This window comes from Homo sapiens, chromosome 21 (assembly GCF_000001405.40).
Source record: "Homo sapiens chromosome 21, GRCh38.p14 Primary Assembly".
Taxonomy (NCBI): domain Eukaryota; kingdom Metazoa; phylum Chordata; class Mammalia; order Primates; family Hominidae; genus Homo; species Homo sapiens.
In genome coordinates, this window is record NC_000021.9 from 45,025,541 (window position 1) to 45,042,557 (window position 17,017).

Genomic DNA, 17,017 nt, shown 5'->3' on the forward strand with positions numbered 1-17,017 from the left:
GTTAAATAGGGACTCTTTTCCCCATTAGAAGCATTCCCCTTAAGATCAGGAGCAAGGCAGGGTGCCCACTGTCATCATTCTAGTCCACACTGTACAAGGCCTAGGAAAGGGTCACAGGAAAGACAAGAAAAAGAAATGAAAGGGGCTTAAAAAGATAGAGTGTCCATTTCTAGATAGAATGTCAACACACCAGGGCTGGGATCAGGGGCTCCACCCTCTTATCCTGCTGTGCAGTCGTCCTCAATATGTGGTTGCTAACTCCTAGTCTAGGATGGCCGCCCATGTGCCAGCCATCATGCTTGTCTTCCAGCCAACCGTAGAGAGGTAAATGAAAAGGAGGTATACCTCCTTCTCCCTGTTAGGACATTACTAGTGAGGCCTAGACCACTTTTACTTCCATCCCACTAGCCAGAGTATAATTGTATTGTTGGAGTTAGAATCCATCGTTTCTGGATGGCCCAAGTCCTTAACAAACGGAGGATGGGACGGGGGACCATTAGCTCAGCCTGGAGACAAACACACGGAACTGAAGGAAAAGCCCAGGCAGTGGGCAGACTGGTGGCCAAGCCAAGACCTGAGGTCCTCTCTCCCTGCGGGGAGCTGTGCTGGGCCGCCATTGTCTGCCACCATCCATGGCCTGCGCAGGCCTCCAGCCCCTCGGAGGCTAGTTCAGGAGGCTGGGGACAGCCTTGTTCGTTGATGGCACCTGGAGCAACGTGAGGGGTGCATGAGCACTGGCCGGGTTGTAGGACACCGAGTGACGTTGTGCCCCAGCGTCACTGGGAGAGATGCTGGAGCAGCGGTTTTGCCTTGCGGAGCTGTGTATTGGCGGGGAGGGCTTCTAGAAAATGTGCAGAGCACAGTTGGATTTTGTTATAAATTTCAGCAGGGATATTTTTAGCTCAAGGACTCAGGAGAAACCTGACTGTGCAGCCCCAAAGTCCCGAAGGTGCCGTCATAGCCTGGACACCGGCTGCACAGGCTCCACTGGGTCCAGGCAGCCGCCTTTGGGAGGGCCAAGCTCTAGGTCTTGAGGGGAGTTGAGGCCGCACAGCTCCTGTTATGGGCTTCGTGCGCCCTGGAAGGTTTTCCCTGCTGGGCACAGGGACCGCTGGGCCACAGTGAGGCACTGGCTCTACATTTAAGCCATGAGGATGTTGGGGCTACACTTGCTGCAGAAAGAAACAGACATTGCGCAGGGGACATGGCACTGGAGTCTGGCCTGCGCTGTGGCTGGGTGACAGCGCACAGGTCATCAGGGCCTCTGGAGTGGATATGGTCATTCCTGCAGGGGAGAGGACAGCGTGAGACGTGCCCATGGGAGGCACCTGTATTTCACTGAACGCCTTTCAGACAGTCTCAGAGAGATGGAAGAGCTGACAGCGTCTTCCAGAGGGAGTGGGGACGGGGTGGCCATCTGGCGGCCACGCCGGGCCTTGGCTTTCTTCGAGTTTCGGTAGAAGAATCCTCTGACCCCACCACAGGTCCAGCCCAGGCAGGGTCTCTGTGATGGTGGAGCCAGGAGGCCGTGACCTTGCAGATTTCTCCTCAAGCTCATTTGTAAGGAGGGAGTGGCCAGAGGACTGGAGGATGTTTTGCCATGGATGGGGCCTGCACAATAAATAGGCAGCTCTTGGAGGAAACGTGAGGTTTCATCCAGCAGACCCCCCAAGCCACTGCATCTAACGTCTGTCCTGCAGCTGGGGGAGGGGTGGTGAACTCGTCCTGTCACAAGGCAGGGACCAGGCAGTGAGGAGGTGCTCCGGGCTGGGTGCCGAGAGAGCGGGTCCTTCTGGAAAGGGCTGTGGACACAGCAGGGAGGCTGGGCATTCAGGTTAAAGTCAAACCAGACCAGATGTGCAGAGACTCTCAGGACGGACAGAGGGTCACACAGACACAGGGGCAGGAGTACTGAGCTGGGGCCTCCCCACCAAGCAGGGTCTCGGGCCGAGGGATCAGCCCTGGCAATGGAGCACGTGGGGAGAGTGCCTCCTCCCTGCACACATGGGCCCTGAGTCCACAGGGGCCACAAGATCCCCAGGCAGTGTGGCCCTGGCTTTCGGGACCTGGGGCCTCCCCAGGCATGTACACCGGAATCCCCTGAGCACCGCCAACGACAGGTACCCCACACCCAGGAGGGCATGTGGATGAGGAGAGGGGCTCAGGCAGGGCCTTTGCTGAAACGCCCAGGGGTTAAGATTTGCTTGTAGATAAAAAAATCCCTATTCTAGGAACTTACCTGGGATACCTATCCATTAAGATATGTGCCCCTAATACTGTGTCAACACCTCACCTCATCTTTGTGGAGGGTCCTTGCCCCCTGAGGAGAGGGGAAGAGTTGAGCTGGGTGGGCCAGAGCCCCCTGTACTCCTGGGTGCTCCCCAGCCTACACTCAGCTCTGGGTCCTGACCCTGTCTCCCTAGGCAGCCGGTTGCATCCCCTCTGTGCAGAATGTGAACCCCCAAGCAAGGCCCTGCTCCCCCTGGGCCCCAGAAGCCCCTGGGGGCCATAGGGTCCTGAGGAGTGACCGTCTGTCTGGGGGTCACAGCGTCCTGCGGAGGGACCGTCTGTCTGGGGGTCACAGGGTCCTGAGGAGGGACCGTCTGTCTGGGGGTCACAGGGTCCTGCGGAGGGACCGTCTGTCTGGGGGTCACAGCGTCCTGCGGAGGGACCGTCTGTCTGGGGGTCACAGCGTCCTGCGGAGGGACCGTCTGGGGGTCACAGGGTCCTGAGGAGTGACCGTCTGTCTGGGGGTCACAGCGTCCTGCGGAGTGACCGTCTGTCTGGGGGTCACAGCGTCCTGCGGAGGGACCGTCTGTCTGGGGGTCACAGGGTCCTGAGGAGGGACCGTCTGTCTGGGGGTCACAGCGTCCTGCGGAGTGACCGTCTGTCTGGGGGTCACAGCGTCCTGCGGAGGGACCGTCTGTCTGGGGGTCACAGCGTCCTGCGGAGTGACCGTCTGTCTGGGGGTCACAGCGTCCTGCGGAGTGACCGTCTGTCTGGGGGTCACAGCGTCCTGCGGAGGGACCGTCTGTCTGGGGGTCACAGGGTCCTGAGGAGGGACCGTCTGTCTGGGGGTCACAGCGTCCTGCGGAGTGACCGTCTGTCTGGGGGTCACAGCGTCCTGCGGAGGGACCGTCTGTCTGGGGGTCACAGCGTCCTGAGGAGTGACCGTCTGTCTGGGGGTCACAGCGTCCTGCAGAGGGACCGTCTGTCTGGGGGTCACAGGGTCCTGCGGAGGGACCGTCTGTCTGGGGGTCACAGGGTCCTGTGGAGGGGCCGCCTGCCTCTTCTGGCTTCTGGAGGTGCCTGGGGCTCCTTGGCTTGTGGCCACACTATCCCCATTCCTGCCTCTTAGTCTCTCATAAGACTTGTCATTGGATCTAGGGCACCCTCATCCCAAGATCCTTAACAGGCTGGCGTGGTGGCTCCTGCCTGTAATCCCAGCACTGTGGGAGGCTGAGGCAGACGGATCACCTGAGGTCAGGAGTATGAGACCAGCCTGGCCAACATGGCAAAGCCCTATCTCTACTAAAAATACAAAAATTAGCCAGGTATGGTGGCGTGTGCCTGTAGTCCCAGCTACTCGGGAGGCTGAGGCAGGAGAATCACTTGAACCCGGGAGGCAGAGGTTGCAGTGAGCTGAGATCGCGCCACTGCACTCTAGCCTGGGCAACAAGAGTGAAACTCCGTCTCAAAAAAAAAAAAAAAAATCCTTAACATAATGACCTCTGCAAAAACCCTATTTCCAAATAAGCCACATTGACAGGTTCCAGGGTTACGGTGTGGACATCTTGAGGGGTCACCATTCAGCCCACTCCAGAGGGGTCCATTGAGCTGGGTCCTCTGCAGGGCTGTGGCCTGTGCTGGGTGGAGACAGTCCTGGGGTGCTGGAGGCAAGCGGGGCTTCACTCAGGGCTGTATCTGGCTGCCTCCGAATCGCAACAGAAGCTCAACAAGCCTGGAGCTCCCTCAGGGGGCTCAGTGGCCTCTGAGACCTCCCATCTTCCATTTTCCCCTAGAGCTGGCCATGCCTGGGGACTCTGACCATGGGCCCCAGAGAGCGCTGCTCCCCTTTGGCCAGCGACAGGGTGGCCAGGCCCAGGATCTGGAGGGAGAAAGCTGCTGGCCTTCTCCAGGGTGCAGCCTGGAGCTTCCCTGCTCTTCTGCAGCTGTGCTCAGCTACGCTCCAGGGCTGCGCTGATTTCCGCTGTCAGTGACTTAAGCCAGCGTCCACGGCCAATCAGCACAGCACTTCTGCCTGCTGCCTGCTGGGTTCAGACCAGGCTGGGTCTGGTCCCTGACGGAGGATGCAGTTCTCATCCTTCAAGCACAAGCCTACAGGCAGCCCCTTGTCACCGAGCGTGACCCTGCCTCAAGGCCTCCTCCTCCCTCTCTTGAGTGAGTGGAGCAGAGCTGGCCGTGGCCTCCCTGCCTCCGCTGAGCCCACCACCAGTGGGTTTTGTTCGGGGCTAATGAGGCGCGGGAAAGGCGGAAGGTGCCGGCGTGACAGCTCAGAAGATGGAACTAATGAGACCTTGTTGCTGGACAAAGGTGGCATTCAGGGTGTCCTTTTGGCCTCGGCCCCCGACTCCCAAACGGGCCCCTCTAATCACAGATGGTTCCCGGACCTGTCCCAGCAAAGGGTCCTGAAGCCCCGGCTTTGCTGTGCAGAGGCTCCTCCCAACCTGGGTTTAGCCAGGCGCCTCCTCGCCTGCCCCACCCCCTGCATCTGGTCACCTCACCCCTCCAGGCGCAGTTTTGATGGAGAAAACCAGACGCTGTGGGAGCCCAGGCCGGCGTCTGAAGTCCGAGGTTCCAGGGGCCACAGAGCCCCGGCCTGGACTCACAGGGGAACTCCCTCACGGCAGGTGGGCCTCCTGGGTCTTTGTCTTCCTCATCAATTGGCAATAGCTAATCAGTGGTGGATTTCTGCAGGTTTGGCAGCTGCTGCTCCATTTGAAACAGCTTAAATGAGCTAAGAGCCAACTCAGCGGGTAAAACTGTAATCAGTGTACAAACAAATTGCACTTTCATTTAGTACATAAAGCACGGTAATGTTATGAGTGGATCAGAACTCACACGATTCAAGTTTACATTCAGAAGCCAGCAAAGCCGCTTTAGAATTACAAAGGGCAAGTTCCCAAGAGGTCTTGCTGAAATCTCAGCCTCTCCCCAAATGTTCATTTCCCACTTCCAACAACTCTCTAGAGTTTTGATGTGTGAATTGCCGAAACTTTTTAGGGCATTGCTTCTCCTGCTCCAGCAAGTGTGAGTCACTGAGTCCTGTGAAAATGCAGAATCGGATTCTGGCCTGGAGGGACCGTGTGTCTCTGAGCGTCTCACAGGGGTGCTGGTGCAGCCACACCATGCCCAGCATAGGCGCGCTGATCCTGAAAGCCCTTTGTGTCCTGGAAGCCCCTCCTGTTCGTGAAGGTTTGGAGAGAGGAGAAGGAAGTCCTGGGTTCCAGGGGCGGGGGGGCAGGGCGGGGTGCTGCAGACCAGGGGCAGCTGCGAGGGTCTCAGGGTGCAAAGCCATTCCCAGGGAACTGCAGACCTCACCGGGGCAGCCTGGCCTGCAGGGAGGTCCCAGGGGAGGCGACTGTGCTGGGCCAGGAAACCGCCTTCTCCTTCAGTGGAACACAATCCACACTCATGGCGGAAAACACAGGAAATCCATAAAGACGCAAAAGGAAGCCACGAACACTCTCATTTATTTAAAATTGGACAACTTATTTGAAATTGTCTATAAGGCAGACATATCTGAGACGCCAGATGGGGGCTGAGCGTACCGAGTAAAGAGGGGCTGACCCCAGACTTCTGATAGACAGGAAAACAGCAGTTCCCCTAAACCTCTGGGGCCCGGGCCCCCGACACACAGGCTCCTCAGTACTCTCTAAAGTATGCAAGGAGCTCGCTTGAGCACCAGGGGCAAGAACCCAAGAATCTGGGGCTCCTGGTGCCTGAGACTCTGAAGGTTGGGGTGCATGAGACCAGGCTTCTCCCACCTCAAACCGAACAGCCTCAGAGGACGGGGTCAGAGGCTGGGGGCCAGGGTCTCTGTGGAACCTGAAGGAACGGAGAGAGGGAGGGAGAGAAGCACCTGAGCCCTTCCCAGCAGGCAGGGCTCCAGCCCTGTGACCCACCCGTGCCCTCAGCTCCAGCCAGGGCGGGGGCTCATCGGCCCCTGCCCGGAGCTCCCCCACAGTTTACAGGGCACACAATTACCATCCCCACCCAGCAGGAGCCGGAGTAGAGAAGCAGAAATCCTTCCTTTGTTAATCATTTTCCATCAGAACTTCGTTTTGGCTTGGAAAGTAGGCCACGGCCAGGCTGCGGGGGGTGGGGAGGCCTGGACCCCCACGCGGCTGCTCTGAGCTCAGAAGGGTCAGCCGCCCAGTTGGAAGCGTTTTATTTTCTAACTCAAATACGTATTTATAGCAGAAGAGAGATGCTCCAAGGACGGGCTCCCTCCTGCCAGGAGCTGGAGCAACCCGGCCACTGTGCACACAGCTCTGGGGGAACGTCGCCTCACTGCCTGTCCTTGCCCCAGGCCCCTGCAGTGACAGACGGGGGCTGGCTTTTCCCCGAGTGAAAGTTGTCAGAACCAAAATGGAGACACTTGTGCTAGAACCCTGGCAACGGAGCCGGAGGTGGCCACGAAGGGGGTTCTCACACACGAATGCCTGATAACAAGAACGGAAAGACTGTGAAAAAATCCACAACCTGGCACAAAGGCTGCTGCAACCTCGCACAGAAATTGCTCTGGAGGACATCGAGGTGCCAGGTGCTGCTGTCCAATCACACCTGGAGCCTCCCTTGCTGCTGGTCTTGGGGAGGCGGGCTCCAGCTCGAAAGGAGGCACACAAAACTGCTGGGAAACGGGCCGGGCAGGCAGGGGCGGGGCCGGGCGGGTGAGGACATGGCTTCTGTGCGCACGGCCCGGCGCGATGGCTGGTGTGGACCCCTACCTTTGGAACACGTGGGGCCAGGCCGAGGGGGTTCCGCCACGTCTCCTGGGCAGAGCGCCAGCCTCAGTCACCGTGTCACTGTGTGTCCCTCCACACCCCGAGTCCTGGCAAACCAAGGCAGTGCAGGAGGACGCCTGGTGCCCAGGGTGATGGACATGGGTAGCACATGGGCCCCATGTGTCCGGGAGCCTGGGGCCTGGTGCACCAGGTCTCAGCTCCTTCCCACCGTGGGTTCTGGGCCAGTTGCAGGCAGAGAACAGAGCGGGTGCCTGGCTCAAGCCGGCCAGTGTCTCCCCCATGTCTCAGCTCCTTCCCACCGTGGGTTCTGGGCCAGTTGCAGGCAGAGAACAGAGCGGGTGCCTGGCTCAAGCCGGCCAGTGTCTCCCCCATGTCTGAGCCCAAGACCCGAGACACGGCCCCCACTGAGACTGGGGGTGGCTCTGGGCACCAATCTCGTGTGTGGGGGCCCCCCACCGCCCACCCCCGCCCAGTCTCCAGGGGTTGTCTGGGGCACTTTGCCCTCCCCAAGGCCCCCCACGCCCATTCCTCTTTGAGCCCCGTGCCCCTGAGTGTGCCGGGCAGTCCCTGGGAGCCCTGTGGTGATGGCAGCCACACCTCCCGGCCCTGCTCAGAGTCAGGGGTGCCCTTCAGGATGGGCTAGCCGCAGCCCATGGACCCTGCCTCCTGGGGGGCCGCCCCCCAACACGCTTCACCGCCGCCGCGCCCTGCCCCCGGGGCAGCTTTCAGGACTGTTTGTCACCAAGGCCAGTGGTTGCAAAACAAGTGGGGCCTGAATTTATAGGAACTTAGAATTTCTCCAGGGCAGAAGGTTGAATAAATGCAGGGGAACGTCAGGGGCAGATGAGGGGAACGTCAGTGGCAGAGCTGACGCGGGTTCCCTCCCTCTCTCCTGGCCGTGGACCCTCGCTTGCAGAGAGGGGCCGGCCCGCGCACCCCCGGCTTCCGAAGCTTGTCTCCAGTGACTTATTCTCGTCTGTGCAGCGGCCAATTCTGAGTTTGGGGCAGGAGCCCTGGGTGGCCCCTCAGATCCCTGCAGGCGTCCCTCGAGTCCGCCGGCCCTGTCTGCCGGAGCAGCTGGGCTTTGCTCTTCGCAGATAAAGCTCCTGGCACCCGTTCCATGCTCCTCGGGTTTGTTCTTTATTTTAAATCCTTTAAAGTAAAAATCTCTGTCTCTCTCCCTCCGTCTTTCTCTCTCTCATTATCAACTTTTCTGCTCTCAGAAGCCCTTTTGATCTGGAGCCTTGAGATGCTCTGTCACTTAGAGACAAGCCCCCTGCTTCTCTTTTTGACTTCTGTCCTTCCCTGTCCGTCCTCTCCCACGTGGCCCTCAGTGGCCCCGCTAACCTGGCCCTGGCCCTGGCTTCCAGGTCTCTTGGCTGGCCTTTTGCATTCATCACTTTACATTTTTCCATTTTGAGTCCCAGGAAGATTTATCAACTTCTCCTCAAATTCCCGAGTTCACCACCAGAAACCAAAGTTGCCGTTTCATTTTCGGGCTGTTGCCACGAGACCTGCAGGCTCCAGCACCCACGAGGCCCATGGCCACTGGGAGGGACATTGGTGTTCCCAGGGTGTGAGGGCACCTTGGCCGGCATGGCGGGGACACGGGGTCATGCCCACCATGCTGGTTCTGCTGATGCCATGGGCCTCTGAGTACTCACTGCCCTGGGTGTGCGGGGCTCGGTGCGGGGAAGAAGAAAGTTTAGCACGAGCGATCGGGGTGGCCAAGAGCCTGGCATGCACAGCCCTGTTCGGGAGCAGTGTCTGTTTTCTTGTCTGAGCAGTGCTTTGCAGTGGGATTTGCAGCCGCAAAAGTTCTTGGCTAAGACGCTTGTGTCTTAGGAAATGTTGGGTTGCACGTTTATTTTTAGCTTCAGGAATGTGACACTTGATATTATTTGGGTTTTTGAGAGGGCCAATCCTGGAACACTCTTGCCTAAAAGTGAAGGTGACAGCTCCACATTGGAAGATGCAAGCTGTCCTGCTCTATCCTGCTCTGTCCTGTCCTGCTCTATCCTGCTCTGTCCTGTCCTGTCCTGTCCTGTCCTGCTCTGTCCTGTCCTGCTCTGTCCTGCCAGGGTGGGAGTCACGGTCGCACATCCTCTCACTCTCAGGGCCTGAGTAGCTGGGAGGCAGGGAAGGGACCATCGGGGAGGGGCCGCAGGGGTCCTGGCGGGTGCCTGGCTGGCCCAGGGTGGCTCAGGGACAGGCGGTGCGGAGGACGTGCGTTCTGGGGTGTGCAGAAGGTGGAGGTGGGAGGGCTTATTGGGGATTAGAGGTGGTGCAAGATAAAGATAGGGGTCAGGAAGGGCTCCAGACTCCGGCCTGAGCCACAGGAGGCCGGGGTGGCATCAGCTGAGCCCCAAGCCCACAGGAGACAGCCCTGACATATGGGTCGGGGGGCTCAAGGTGTCTCTAACAGTCCAACAGCAACACAGTGGCTCCGAGGAGGTGGACGTCTGAGTGGCTGCTCCAGGCTGCCGGGCAGCCCTGCTCCTCTTACCTCAGGGCCAGGCCTCCTCCGCCTTGATGTCTCCCCTGGAAACCCCAGGACCACATCCAAAGAGCAGAGCTTTGGGAAAGGGGAAAGAGAGCATGGAGGGGTCAACTCAACCACAGGGTCCTCAGGGGCCCTCCCGGTCACGATCCTCATCGTGGGAGCAGCCCTGCCCCACCCTCCACAGGCAGGTGACCTGGAGGGGTTTGCTGTTCCATGGAAGAGCCCCTGGGTGCTGAGCATGCATCTGAAGTTCAAGGGCGAGCCTGGGCTACAGGAGGATCTGTGGGCATCCATGCTGGGAGGGAAGCGTGGAGACAGGGGCCGTGGGACATCTTCCTGGATTTCAGAGGGAAAAGCCTCCCCAAGCTGCTGCCCTTGCTGTGGGAAGGAGAATTTACCTGTGTCCTGTGGCCAGCAGGGACTACTTGTGAGGTCGGTGGAGTTGTTGGGCCACACCCCGGTCATTGCAACCTTGGTACCCAAGGCAGCTCTTCCCTGGGAGGCCTCCTGAGCCCTTCAGCCCTGATACGTTTTGCACATTCTTAAAACACCTTAGCTGTGGCATGCGGGTCCTACACTCCCCCAACCCTGTCGTCTATCAGTGACACGTCTACCCCTTTGATTGATGTCCTCAGCCCTGGGCCTCCGAGTTCAGCGTCTTCATGTCCCAGCAGCCAGCCCTGAGGCAGGTGCATGAGAGGCCCTTGGTACATGCTTGTGCAGTTGAATTTTTAAAAATGAGTGTGGCCCCCTCGGAAGTTCATGGAATAAAACTGTTATCTGGGGGTGGGGGGTGATTTGTTTGAGGCTATTTAGTGGCAGAGTTGGAATTTAAACCATGATTTTTCTACTAAACAATTCTAAATTGCCTCTCAGGCACTGTTGGGAATGGGGACTGGGTTCTCCCAGATACTTAATGCTTTAGAGCTGGAAGAATTTTCAAAAATTATAGTTAACTGAATTTTGAAGAGGTCCATGGAGATACCAGATTTGTGTCACAAGAAGGGAGTTTTCCAAAGAAAAGGAGCAACTGGAGAGCAAGAAAGAGTCTGAGATTTGAAATGTGATTTTCAAATTCAATGGGAAGCCTGGAATTCAATGGGCACCCTGGAAGATAAAGAGGAAGAAATTTCCTAAAATGCAGAGAAAATAGACAAATACATGGGCATATGAAAGAAAACTTAAGAAGTACAGAGGCTTAATCCAGGCACTCCAGACACCACCTAATAAAAGTTCCAGGATGATAAAATAGAAAACTTGAGTGAGGAACTACTAAAATAATTAGTAGAAGTCTAGGCACAGTGGCTCATGTCTGTAGTCCCACCACTTTGGGAGTCCAACGTGGGAGGATAGCTTGAGCCCAGGAGTTTGAGGTTGCAGTGAGCTATGATTGCACCACTGCACTCCAGCCTGGGTGACAGACCCAGACCCAGTCTCTTAAAAATAAATAAATAAATAAAAATTAAAAAAAAAAAAGAATAAGAGAAAATTTCCCAGGGTTGAAGAATTGCAGTCAGTCTGAAAGACCCAAAGTGTCCTAAACAGGATGAAGGACAGGGCACCGTACCTGGCACACCTGCTAAAATGTCAGACTATCAAACATAAAGAGAAAATCCTAAAAGCCCAGCAAGAGAAAGAACAAGCTACCACAGAGGCATGAGGATCACACTGGCATTTGGCTTCTTGTTGCTGATGTTAGAAGAACAAGCTACTACAGAGGCATGAGCAACCACACTGGCATTTGGCTTCTCATTGGTGTTGCTGATGTTAGGTGTCTATGCAAGGAGCCTGTAAGCTTCTGAAAAATGATGATTTAGAGCTGAGAATTCTATACCCAGCTAAACAGTCCATCAAAACTGACAGTGAAGTTGAAACAGATTCAGACGTGCAAGAACTCAGAACATGCACTTCCTGGGTTAAAAAAAATTTTTTTTTGAGATAGGGTCTTGCCCTGTTTCCCAGGCTGGAATTTGGAAATTGGCTTGGATGTAATTGCAGATGGGCCAGGATTGCTCGAGTCATCATTGCCCTTTTGTCTTCCTGGAAAGCACCCGCCAGCAGTACGAAGGAGAAACACATATACAGACTCCCTCATCCAGAAACCGAGAAACTGGGAATTGCCCAGGCCTCCAGGTGGTGGGGAGGAAGGGCAGGAGGGAGAGACTAACACAGAGAGAGAGGGTCCCATAGGGGTATTTCTCAAGGGTGGGGCCATTGAGGGGGAAGAGTGGGGAGGCTGCAAACAAGGACCCACATGCAGTGGCCATGGCTCTGAGTCAGGGAAGAAGTGCCAGAGGAGAAATGGACACACAGGAGTGGCCAGGATCGTTTTTTAAGGAGGTGCATCTGAAACATGTTATGAAGCCTCCTTATCGAAGCAGCTCGGGAGGCTGGATGAAGACAGTAGTTGGGGCAACAGAGCAAATGGTGCAGACGCTGCCCAGATCCACACGGAGCCCCGTCTGTGCTCCAGGGGGAATGAGTGGTGGGCTGGGCACCTGGAGAAAACCGTTGGTTGACTTTATTCATTGTCGTACAGCAGGGTGGATTCCAGTGATTCATGTAGGTAATAGTTAAAAATAACTTCTCAAAGGCGTTCTCTAAGAATGGGAATGTTCTTTAAAACTTTAGCTGGGAAAGTCTTTTTAGTTTTTTTTTTTTTAATTTTTAAATTTAAAGTTAGAAATGGTGGGCCGGTGGGGGAGGGTCTCACCATCTTGCCCAGGCTGGTCTTGAGCTCCTAGGCTGAAGCGATTCTCCCACCTCTAACTCCTAAAGTGCTGGGCTTACAGGCGTGAGCCACCATGCCTGGCCAGAAAAAGTCTTTTTAAACAGTGATGTGAAACGCAGAAGCTCTGAGAGGCTAATAAATTTGACTACAGAAAAATAAAACAGTTTCTGCAAAAGCTGTTGGAACTGTATTCAGGAGACAAACTAAGGTGGGCACCTCATCTCACAGGCAAGAGCCTGGCTCCCCTCATGTAGAAAGAGCTCCTGGAACTCAGGAAGGAAAAGCGACCAATGGGAAGAGGGAGAAAGACAATGACAGGGACACATCTGCCCCATGGAAGACATCGACATCCCCCAACACAGAACCCTGGACCTCGAGTGTGGCCTTCTAAGGGTCTTTGCTGCAGAGCCCACCAGATGTGCCTGTGAGGCTGGCTGGAAACCGCCAAATGCCCAGGGCCAGCACCCAAGAAAAGAGGGAAGAGACGCGTGCACACAGTTCCCCTGGGAAGACAGACAAAATCCTGAAACTATGACGGCCTGCAGCATGCAGATGCTGGCGGCGGGGGTAGGGAAACCCCCAAGCTTTTTGTTTGTGAACCTGTGTAAAGGTATTATCTACTTTAAAATTCATTTCTTAAAAAGAAATAGGCTGGGCGTGGTGGCTCATGCCTGTAATCCCAGCACTTTGGGAGGCTGAGGCGGGTGAATCACGAGGTCAGGAGATCCAGACCATCCTTGCTAGTACGGTGAAACCCCGTCTCTACTAAAAATTAGCCGGGCATGGTGGCGGGAGCCTGTAGTCCCAGCCACTCGGGAGGCTGAGGCAGGAGAATGGCGTGAACCCAGGAAGCGGAGCTTGCAGTGAGCCGAGATCGCGCCACTGCACTCCAGCCTGGGTGACACAACAAGAGTCCGTCTCAAAAAAAAATAAATAAATAAATAAAAGAAAAGAAAAGAAATAGAGGTCTAAAGCACTCATTTAGAGAGAGACCTGGGCACCCCGGGAAGTGGAACTGAGGCAGATGGGACACAGGATGAGGACTGCTTTCAATTTTCTGTACTTTTATTTTTATAGTTTGAGTGTTTGTGATTACTTTTATTCCTTAAAATCTCATTTTGGCTCTTATGTTTGTAATTTTGTAATTTAAAAAAGTAAATGGGGTAGAACTAAATGAAGTGGAAATAAAGTTGCATTCGAGAACAGGGACTTAAGAATAGGGTCGGGGGCCGGGTGTGGTGGCTCACACCAGTAATCCCAGCACTTTGGGAGGCGGAGGCGGGAGGATCACCTGAGGTCAGGAGTTCGAGACCGCCCTGGCCAACATGGTGAAACCCCTGTCTCTACTAAAAGTACAAAAATTAGCTGCATGTGGTGGCACGTGCCTGTAATTCCAGCTACTCGGGAGGCTGAGACAGGAGAACACCTTGAGCCTGGCAGGCAGAGGTTGTGGTGAGCCAAGATTGTGCCACTGCACTCCAGTTTCGGGGACAGAGTGAGACCCTGTCTCAAAAAAAGAAAAAGAGTAGGGGTGGGGCGCGGTGGTTCACGCCTGTAATCCCACCTCTTTGGGAGGCTGAGATAGGAGGCTTGCTTGAATCAGGAGGCTGAGGCTGCAGTGAGCTGTGATTACACCACTGCACTCCAGCCTGGGCAACAGAACAAGACCTTGTCTCAAAAAAAGAAAAATAGAAAAAAAAGAACAGTATCTGAAATATATTTCTGATTAATAGAGGAACTGAAAATAAGGGCTAACATTTAAAAATTCCTGAGACTGAGGAGGGGAAGGAGGAGTGAGTGGTGTAAAAATGCCAACATTTTATTATTCATAGTGGAGAGGCCAAAGTGAGGAGGGAAAAGCATTTACAATTTACCAAAAGGAAAAAAAGGAAAGAAAATGAATACCTGCTTATTTTAAAATTATTGCTACTGTTTAAAATCACAGGTATTTTTTTAATTTAAAAAAGGATAAAATAAAAAAGGGAGACCAGGCCCATGTGGGGGCCTCACAGGCAGCCTCTTCCCAGCAACACAATTGCACCCTGCACCCCAGCCATCTAGGGGCACCTGGCAAGCTGTGGAGCAGCCCTAGGACTGGCGGGTGGGCAGAGGGTCCGTTGTTATCAGGGGCTGGGGGAAGCCCCCAGGGGTGCCTGTGCCCCTGAAGGGTTCATGGGGCCTTGGTGACTGGGAAGGGACCTTCTGTGCCCCAGGATGGTCCACCTCATGCAGGAGCCCTGTAGCCCTGGGTGTGCTGGGGGCAGTGTCCTGGGGGCCTGGGGGGTCCCTGGGCGATGCTGGGCTCTGCACAGGGAAGGCCATGAGTGGGGGATGCTCTTGGGGGATGATGGGAGGACACTCTGTGGGGTTCTCTTGAGAGGGGTGCTCCCAGAGACGCTCCTGGGGGCATCTGGAGGTTGCTCCCGCTGGGAGTTCCTGGAGTGCCCCTGAGGGCCCCCTTAGGCCAAGGTCAGGCACAGGCATGGGGCTATGGCTACAGGCAGGAGAGAGGGTGGCGGGGGGGCCACCGTCCTCTGTGGACCCTTCAGTGCCAGCCATGCTGCTGCTGCTGCTGTGGGGTGAGGCCCACCAGGGTTGACAGCAGGGCACTGAGTCCCCTCCAGGCAATGCACATCCTTCCCTTCAGCTCACTGCTCTGTTTGCCGGGCAGGTCACCTGTTGACCTCTCCGGCTGCAGGCCCGCCTGTCCCTGGGCACTGTCCCCTTCTGTGTGGAGTTCCCCTGGCCCCCTGTCCTGGACCCATGGCCCCTACCTGGTGCCTGTGAGGGCACCTGATAGGCCAGGGCCCAGGGATGACTCCCCTCCACCCCGCAGCATCAGGACCCTTCAGGGCTGCCACCTCCTGGGAGCCCTCTGTCCTTCGCAGAAGGAGCCCAAGGCCCATGTGCTGCTGGGGATAGGCTCCCCAGGGTCCCTTCAAGGTGGTGGGGGAGGCTGGCTTGGGGGACCTGCCCCAGCAGCTCCACCTTTACCAGATGTATATGTTGGGGTAAGATTTTGTTTGAGAAAAAAAAGAGTTTTTATGGCTAAATGTTAAAAGGGTGAACGTGCTGAAGCCGGAGGGGTGGAGAGCAGGACACGGGCTGACCTCGGGGTGGGAGGCCGGCGCTTCCAGGAACCGCCTGAGCTGTGAGGGCACACAGGCAGGCTGAGGGCCGGCTGAGCCACCTGGGCACCAGTGGCCAGGCCTGGGTGCTGAGGAGTCCCTTGCTTCTGCTTCACGGGGCGTCTAGAAAGTGCATCTGAGGCTGGCGTCCCGCGCCAGCACGGGGGTCTCTCTCCTCCTGGATGTCTGCGTGGTGATGAAGGTGGAAACAGCCCCCAGGGCAGCTCCTGTTACTTTAAGGCCCTACACATGTTCATTTGCAGCCTGAGGTTTTCTGTCTAAATTCACATTTTGCAGTTTCACTGAGTTACTTTCATTCATTTTTACATTTACATACAGCAGTGATCTCCATGCCTGCCACTTTCGAGGCTTCTCCAAGGGCTTTGTTATTTTGTTCTCAGAGAAATCAAAAACAGCAGAGACACAAATGTTGAAAAGTTTCATTTTCTGGTCTTCTCTGAGTGCCCGCCCCCCCACCAACCCCCCAGGGTTTCTGGGAAGAAGAAGAAAAAAATGACAGAATTATTCGTGATTGGGAAATCACTTGGCTGTGGCGGGTGTGGAAGCTCCCCAGTGTCCGGAGCTCCCTGTGTGGAAAGTTTTGTGGTGTGTGTGCCGTGCCCTTTCTGGAGGGTTACACAACCCAGGACGGACGCGGTGGGGGCACAGAGGGAATGACACTCCCTTCCCAAACACTCAGAAGACAGAAGAAGACGGGAGCCGGTGCAGCCCAGGCTCCCTGCCCTGCCGAGACCTGACCGTGCCTGGCCAGCCCCTGCCCCAGCCCCAAGGGACTCCCACGAGGACACCAGATCCTCCGGGGGTGGAGGAGCCCTGCGGTGCCTGTGCGGAGGGGCCTGAGGCTGGAGGAGGCCTAGAGGGCTGATCCTGCCTTTGCCCCACCATTCTGATGTTTTGTTCGATGTGGACGTTTTGCATTCACTTAGATTCTGCAAAATCTTGCGTTAAAATATGACTTATCTTGATTCCTGAATTTTTCCATGCCTTTTGTACCTGAGGGGACTGTCACACTCACCTAAGCCCTCACCAGGCCCTAGTGGGTCAGAAGGCGGGAGTACAGTATCTCTGTGTGTGTGTGCATATGTGTAGTGTGTGGTGTGCTTGTGTGTGTTTATGTGGCATGTTGTATGTATGTGTGGTGTGCATGTGTCTGTGGGTGTGTGTGTGCGTTTGTCATATGGGTGTGTACGTGGTGTGTGTGTGTGCTGTGGGGACGTATGGTGTGTGTGTAACGTGTGTGGTTTATATGTGTGTGATTTATATATGTGTGTATGTGTGTAATGTGTGTGGTTTATACGTGTGTGATTTACGTATGTGTGGGGTGTGTGGTTTATATGTGTGTGTATGATGTGTGTAGTTTATATATGTGTGTATGTGTGTGATGTGTGTGGTTTATATGTGTGTGTGGTGTGTATGCGTGATGTGTGTATGTAGTGTGTGTAATGTGTGTGTAGTGTGTGTGGGGTGTGTGTGTAGTGTGTGTTGTGTGTGTGTGGTGTATGTGTGTGGTGTGTGTGTGTGATGTGTGTGTAATGTGTGTGGTGTATGTGTGTGGTGTGTGTGTGATGTGTGTATGTAGTGTGTAATGTGTGTGTAGTGTGTGGGGGGGTGTGTAGTGTGTGTTGTGTGTGTGGTGTGTGTGTGG

General features: G+C 55.5%; 2 annotated features.

Annotated features, from left to right (window-relative positions):
* Nucleotides 2,874–3,373: an enhancer, noted in NCBI's record as "H3K4me1 hESC enhancer chr21:46448329-46448828 (GRCh37/hg19 assembly coordinates)". NCBI's record gives its function as "activates a minimal SCP1, AML or CMV promoter by ChIP-STARR-seq in primed H9 embryonic stem cells {active_cell/tissue: H9 hESC(primed)}" and the evidence as "EXISTENCE:reporter gene assay evidence [ECO:0000049][PMID:30033119]".
* Nucleotides 5,686–6,353: an enhancer, noted in NCBI's record as "H3K4me1 hESC enhancer chr21:46451141-46451808 (GRCh37/hg19 assembly coordinates)". NCBI's record gives its function as "activates a minimal SCP1, AML or CMV promoter by ChIP-STARR-seq in naive H9 embryonic stem cells {active_cell/tissue: H9 hESC(naive)}" and the evidence as "EXISTENCE:reporter gene assay evidence [ECO:0000049][PMID:30033119]".